Below are 7,459 nucleotides of genomic sequence, written 5' to 3' on the forward strand. Positions count from 1 at the left end.
GCCATGAGACATGACCCCAGAGTCCTGCAACTTGTAGCAACTGAATATAGGAGAAAAGACCAGGCTTCCTGAAGAAATCCTAGGAACATTAAAGAGACCCCATCTGTGTCCTTGGGGAAAGAGCTCTATTTTGCATAACTTGCCCTAGCAGATTGGAACCAGTGATAGTGACAGAAGGCAGCCAAATGCCTAGGTAAATGGGACAGGTCCCAGGTGAAACCCCACCTTAAAGCCAAAAAACAGCCTGAGGGGTGAAAGGCCGGATTGCTGGTCCCTGATGAAACCCGCGACCTAGAGTGAGAACTTCTGTTTCTGTTTGCCCGCCCTTTCCTGATTGATTCTTTCTGAATAATGCCTTTTAACCAATCGAATGTTGCCTTTTCCAATACTACCTATGACCTGCCCCTTTCCCATTCTCAGCCCATAAAAGCCCCAGACTCAGCCACAGTGGGGGGACTTTCCCACCTTCAGGTAGGGGGACCACCCCTGTATCCCCTCTCCGCTGAAAGCTGTTTCATCACTCAGACTCCTTGCCTTGCTCACTCTTCGATTGTCAACATATCCTCATTCTTCTTGGGTGCGGGACAAGCACCCGGGAACCAGTGCACAAGCCAGACTTGTCCCGGGCAGGCTGTCTCCTGCAGCAGGGTAGCATGGCTGAGCAAGGCCCAGGTGGGGCGTCGCTGGCCAGAGGTCCCTGGCTTACAAAGTGGCCAAGAAAAAAATCCTGTGTCACCAGGTGATAGACTTGGCAGAAAGATGGTCAGTTGCAGAGTGAACTGAAGGTCACAAACCCTATCAGAACAGAGGGAAAATAAAACCAGACAGAAGCCCTGTTCTTGTTCTACCAGTAGTTAAAGTGACCTTGAGTGAGTATCTTTTGCTCTCTGACACCAGTTTCCTCACTGGGAGAATGAGGAGATTGAAATCTTAGATACTGCCAGGAAAAACATTCTGCATTTGCCTAGATCCCTTCCCTGAATAGATTTGATAGTTTTGTTTTGCTTTATTTTATTTTATTTTATTTTTTATACTTTAAGTTTTAGGGTACATGTGCACATTGTGCAGGTTAGTTACATATGTATACATGTGCCATGCTGGTGCGCTGCACCCACTAACTCGTCATCTAGCATTAGGTATATCTCCCAATGCTATCCCTCCCCCCTGCCCCCACCCCACCACAGTCCCCAGAGTGTGATATTCCCCTTCCTGTGTCCATGTGATCTCATTGTTCAGTTCCCACCTATGAGTGAGAATATGCGGTGTTTGGTTTTTTGTTCTTGCGATAGTTTACTGAGAATGATGATTTCCAGTTTCATCCATGTCCCTACAAAGGAGATGAACTCATCATTTTTTATGGCTGCATAGTATTCCATGGTGTATATGTGCCACATTTTCTTAATCCAGTCTATCATTGTTGGACATTTGGGTTGGTGCCAAGTCTTTGCTATTGTGAATAATGCCGCAGTAAACATACGTGTGCATGTGTCTTCATAGCAGCATGATTTATAGTCCTTTGGGTATATAGCCAGTAATGGGATGGCTGGGTCAAATGGTATTTCTAGTTCTAGATCCCTGAGGAATCGCCACACTGACTTCCACAATGGTTGAACTAGTTTACAGTCCCACCAACAGTGTAAAAGTGTTCCTATTTCTCCACATCCTCTCCAGCACCTGTTGTTTCCTGACTTTTTCATGATTGCCATTCTAACTGGTGTGAGATGGTATCTCATTGTGGTTTTGATTTGCATTTCTCTGATGGCCAGTGATGATGAGCATTTTTTCACGTGTTTTTTGGCTGCATAAATGTCTTCTTTTGAGAAGTGTCTGTTCATGTCCTTCACCCACTTTTTGATGGGGTTGTTTGTTTTTTTCTTGTAAATTTGTTGGAGTTCATTGTAGATTCTGGATATTAGCCCTTTGTCAGATGAGTAGGTTGCGAAAATTTTCTACCATTTTGTAGGTTGCCTGTTCACTCAGATGGTAGTTTCTTTTGCTGTGCAGAAGCTCTTTAGTTTAATTAGATCCCATTTGTCAATTTTGTCTTTTGTTGCCATTGCTTTTGGTGTTTTGGACATGAAGTCCTTGCCCATGCCTATGTCCTGAATGGTAATGCCTAGGTTTTCTTCTAGGGTTTTTATGGTTTTAGGTCTAACGTTTAAGTCTTTAATCCATCTTGAATTGATTTTTGTATAAGGTGTAAGGAAGGGATCCAGTTTCAGCTTTCTACGTATGGCTAGCCAGTTTTCCCAGCACCATTTATTAAATAGGGAATCCTTTCCCCATTGCTTGTTTTTCTCAGGTTTGTCAAAGATCAGATAGTTGTAGATATGTGGCGTTATTTCTGAGGGCTCTGTTCTGTTCCATTGATCTATATCTCTGTTTTGGTACCAGTACCATGCTGTTTTGGTTACTGTAGCCTTGTAGTATAGTTTGAAGTCAGGTAGTGTGATGCCTCCAGCTTTGTTCTTTTGGCTTAGGATCGCCTTGGCGATGCAGGCTCTTTTTTGGTTCCATATGAACTTTAAAGTAGTTTTTTCCAATTCTGTGAAGAAAGTCATTGGTAGCTTGATGGGGATGGCATTGAATCTGTAAATTACCTTGGGCAGTATGGCCATTTTCACGATATTGATTCTTCCTACCCGTGAGCATGGAATGTTCTTCCATTTGTTTGTATCCTTTTATTTCCTTGAGCAGTGGTTTGTAGTTCTCCTTGAAGAGGTCCTTCACATCCCTTGTAAGTTAGATTCCTAGGTATTTTATTCTCTTTGAAGCAATTGTGAATGGGAGTTCACTCATGATTTGGCTCTCTGTTTGTCTGTTGTTGGTGTATAAGAATGCTTGTGATTTTTGTACATTGATTTTGTATCCTGAGACTTTGCTGAAGTTGCTTATCAGCTTAAGGAGATTTTGGGCTGAGACAACGGGGTTTTCTAGATATACAATCATGTCGTCTGCAAACAGGGACAATTTGACTTCCTCTTTTCCTAATTGAATACCCTTTATTTCCTTCTCCTGCCTAATTGCCCTGGCCAAAACTTCCAACACTATGTTGAATAGGAGTGGTGAGAGAGGGCATCCCTGTCTTGTGCCAGTTTTCAAAGGGAATGCTTCCAGTTTTTGCCCATTCAGTATGATATTGGCTGTGGGTTTGTCATAGATAGCTCTTATTATTTTGAAATACGTCCCATCAATACCTAATTTATTGAGAGTTTTTAGCATGAAGGGTTGTTGAATTTTGTCAAAGGCTTTTTCTGCATCTATTGAGATAATCATGTGGTTTTTGTCTTTGGCTCTGTTTATATGCTGGATTACATTTATTGATTTGTGTATATTGAACCAGCCTTGCATCCCAGGGATGAAGCCCACTTGATCATGGTGGATAAGCTTTTTGATGTGCTGCTGGATTCGTTTTGCCAGTATTTTATTGAGGATTTTTGCATCAATGTTCATCAAGGACATTGGTCTAAAATTCTCTTTTTTGGTTGTGTCTCTGCCCGGCTTTGGTATCAGAATGATGCTGGCCTCATAAAATGAGTTAGGGAGGATTCCCTCTTTTTCTATTGATTGGAATAGTTTCAGAAGGAATGGTACCAGTTCCTCCTTGTACCTCTGGTAGAATTCGGCTGTGAATCCATCTGGTCCTGGACTCTTTTTGGTTGGTAAACTATTGATTATTGCCACAATTTCAGCTCCTGTTATTGGTCTCTTCAGAGATTCAACTTCTTCCTGGTTTAGTCTTGGGAGAGTGTATGTGTCCAGGAATTTATCCATTTCTTCTAGATTTTCTAGTTTATTTGCGTAGAGGTGTTTGTACTATTCTCTGATGGTAGTTTGTATTTCTGTGGGATCGGTGGTAATATCCCCTTTATCATTTTTTATTGTGTCTATTTGATTCTTCTCTCTTTTTTTCTTTATTAGTCTTGCTAGTGATCTATCAGTTTTGTTGATCCTTTCAAAAAACCAGCTCCTGGATTCATTAATTTTTTGAAGGGTTTTTTGTGTCTCTATTTCCTTCAGTTCTGCTCTGATTTTAGTTATTTCTTGCCTTCTGCTAGCTTTTGAATGTGTTTGCTCTTGCTTTTCTAGTTCTTTTAATTGTGATGTTAGGGTGTCAATTTTGCATCTTTCCTGCTTTCTCTTGTGGGCATTTAGTGCTATAAATTTCCCTCTACACACTGCTTTGAATGCATCCCAGAGATTCTGGTATGTTGTGTCTTTGTTCTCGTTGGTTTCAAAGAACATCTTTATTTCTGCCTTCATTTCGTTGTGTATCCAGTAGTCATTCAGGAGCAGGTTGTTCAGTTTCCATGTAGTTGAGCGGTTTTGAGTGAGATTCTTAATCCTGAGTTCTAGTTTGATTGCACTGTGGTCTGAGAGATAGTTTGTTATAATCTCTGTTCTTTTACATTTGCTGAGGAGAGCTTTACTTCCAAGTATGTGGTCAATTTTGGAATAGGTGTGGTGTGGTGTGCTGAAAAAAATGTATATTCTGTTGATTTGGGGTGGAGAGTTCTGTAGATGTCTATTAGGTCTGCTTGGTGCAGAGCTGAGTTCAATTCCTGGGTATCCTTTTTGACTTTCTGTCTCGTTGATCTGTCTAATGTTGATAGTGGGGTGTTAAAGTCTCCCATTATTAATGTGTGGGAGTCTGAGTCTCTGTGTAGGTCACTCAGGACTTGCTTTATGAATCTGGGTGCTCCTGTATTGGGTGCATATATATTTAGGATAGTTAGCTCTTCTTGTTGAATTGATCCCTTTACCATTATGTAATGGCCTTCTTTGTCTCTTTTGATCTTTGTTGGTTTAAAGTCTGTTTTATCAGAGACTAGGATTGCAAACCCTGCCTTTTTTTGTTTTCCATTTGCTTGGTAGATCTTCCTCCATCCTTTTATTTTGAGCCTATGTGTGTCTCTGTATGTGAGATGGGTTTCCTGACTACAGCACACTGATGGGTCTTGACTCTTTATCCAATTTGCCAGTCTGTGTCTTTTAATTGGAGCATTTAGTCCATTTACATTTAAAGTTAATATTGTTATGTGTGAATTTGATCCTGTCATTATGATGTTAGCTGGTGATTTTGCTCATTAGTTGATGCAGTTTCTTCCTAGTCTCGATGGTCTTTACATTTTGGCATGATTTTGCAGCAGCTGGTACCGGTTGTTCCTTTCCATGTTTAGCGCTTCCTTCAGGAGCTCTTTTAGGGCAGGCCTGGTGGTGATGAAATCTCTCAGCATTTGCTTGTCTGTAAAGTATTTTATTTATCCTTCACTTATGAAGCTTAGCTTGGCTGGATATGAAATTCTGGGTTGAAAATTCTTTTCTTTAAGAATGTTGAATATTGGCCCCCACTCTCTTCTGGCTTGTGGGGTTTCTGCTGAGAGATCCGCTGTTAGTCCGATGGGCTTCCCTTTGTGGGTAGCCTGACCTTTCTCTCTGGCTGCCCTTAACATTTTTTCCTTCATTTCAACTTTGGTGAATCTGACAATTATGTGTCTTGGAGTTGCTCTTCTCGAGGAGTATCTTTGTGGCATTCTCTGTATTTCCTGAATCTGAACGTTGGCCTGCCTTGCTAGATTGGGGAAGTTCTCCTGGATAATATCCTGCAGAGTGTTTTCCAGCTTGGTTCCATTCTCCCCATCACTTTCAGGTACACCAATCAGACGTAGATTTGGTCTTTTCACATAGTCCCATATTTCTTGGAGGCTTTGCTCGTTTCTTTTTATTCTTTTTTCTCTAAACTTCCCTTCTCGCTTCATTTCATTCATTTCATCTTCCATTGCTGATACCCTTTCTTCCAGTTGATCGCATCGGCTCCTGAGGCTTCTGCATTCTTCACGTAGTTCTCGAGCCTTGGTTTTCAGCTCTATCAGCTCCTTTAAGCACTTCTCTGTATTGGTTATTCTAGTTATACATTCTTCTAAGTTGTTTTCAAAGTTTTCAACTTCTTTGCCTTTGGTTTGAATGTCCTCCCGTAGCTCAGAGTAATTTGATCATCTAAAGCCTTCTTCTCTCAGCTTGTCAAAGTCATTCTCCATCCAGCTTTGTTCTGTTGCTGGTGAGGAACTGCGTTCCTTTGGAGGAGGAGAGGCGCTCTGCGTTTTAGAGTTTCCAGTTTTTCTGTTCTGTTTTTTCCCACCTTTGTGGTTTTATCTACTTTGGGTCTTTGATGATGATGATGTACAGATGGGTTTTTGGTGTGGATGTCCTTTCTGTTTGTTAGTTTTCCTTCTAACAGACAGGACCCTCACCTGCAGGTCTGTTGGAGTACCCTGCCGTGTGAGGTGTCAGTGTGCCCCTGCTGGGGGGTGCCTCCCAGTTAGGCTGCTCGGGGGTCAGGGGTCAGGGACCCACTTGAGGAGGCAGTCTGCCCGTTCTCAGATCTCCAGCTGCGTGCTGGGAGAACCACTGCTCTCTTCAAAGCTGTCAGACAGGGACATTTAAGTCTGCAGAGGTTACTGCTGTCTTTTTGTTTGTCTGTGCCCTGCCCCCAGAGGTGGAGCCTACAGAGGCAGGCAGGCCTCCTTGACCTGTGGTGGGCTCCACCCAGTTCGAGCTTCCCAGCTGCTTTGTTTACCTAATCAAGCCTGGGCAATGGCGGGCGCCCCTCCCCCAGCCTCGCTGCCGCCTTGCAGTTTGATCTCAGACTGCTGTGCTAGCAATCAGCGAGACTCCGTGGGCGTAGGACCCTCCGAGCCAGGTGCAGGATATAATCTCGTGGTGCGCCGTTTTTTAAGCCGGTCCAAAAAGCGCAATATTTGGGTGGGAGTGACCCGATTTTCCAGGTGCGTCCGTCACCCCTTTCTTTGACTCGGAAAGGGAACTCCCTGACCCCTTGCGCTTCCCAAGTGAGGCAATGCCTTGCCCTGCTTTGGCTGGCGCACGGTGCGCGCACCCACTGACCTGCGCCCACTGTCTGGCCCTCCCTAGTGAGATGAACCCGGTACCTCAGATGGAAATGCAGAAATCACCCGTCTTCTGCATCGCTCACGCTGGGAGCTGTAGACCGGAGCTGTTCCTATTCGGCCATCTTGGCTCCTCCGCTTTTTTTTAATTTTTATACAAATCCTGATTAGTAAGATACATATTCATATTATTAGTCCTCAGTTTCCTCATTCAGGAAATAATTCTACTTCACAGGGTCATTGGGAGGAAGTTTTTATTTGGCCTGATGTTCATGGGTTTAGCCAGGCTGGGTTTGTTTAGGCAAAGGAAGGACACATACACATATTTATAAATAAAAAGGTTTTACATGAAGGAAAACTGATTTTAAAGATTGTGACACTTGCCCACTAGTAAGTGGTTATCTTCAACAGTGCCACTTTAAAACAGATGCTGATGTGTTCATTTATTCTTCCCTGCAGCCAGTCATTGGCATAGCACACGTATGTGTATGGGCGGTGCCTGAACACTGGTCTGGTGTGAAGGTTAGGGCAGGGAGTTTTATTCTATTCAAAAG

At 43.0% G+C, this 7,459-nt stretch overlaps 1 annotated feature.

Moving 5' to 3' along the window:
- Nucleotides 6,154-6,757: an enhancer, noted in NCBI's record as "NANOG-H3K27ac-H3K4me1 hESC enhancer chr7:30459231-30459834 (GRCh37/hg19 assembly coordinates)". NCBI's record gives its function as "activates a minimal SCP1, AML or CMV promoter by ChIP-STARR-seq in naive H9 embryonic stem cells {active_cell/tissue: H9 hESC(naive)}" and the evidence as "EXISTENCE:reporter gene assay evidence [ECO:0000049][PMID:30033119]".

This window comes from Homo sapiens, chromosome 7 (genome assembly GCF_000001405.40).
Source record: "Homo sapiens chromosome 7, GRCh38.p14 Primary Assembly".
Lineage (NCBI taxonomy): Eukaryota > Metazoa > Chordata > Mammalia > Primates > Hominidae > Homo > Homo sapiens.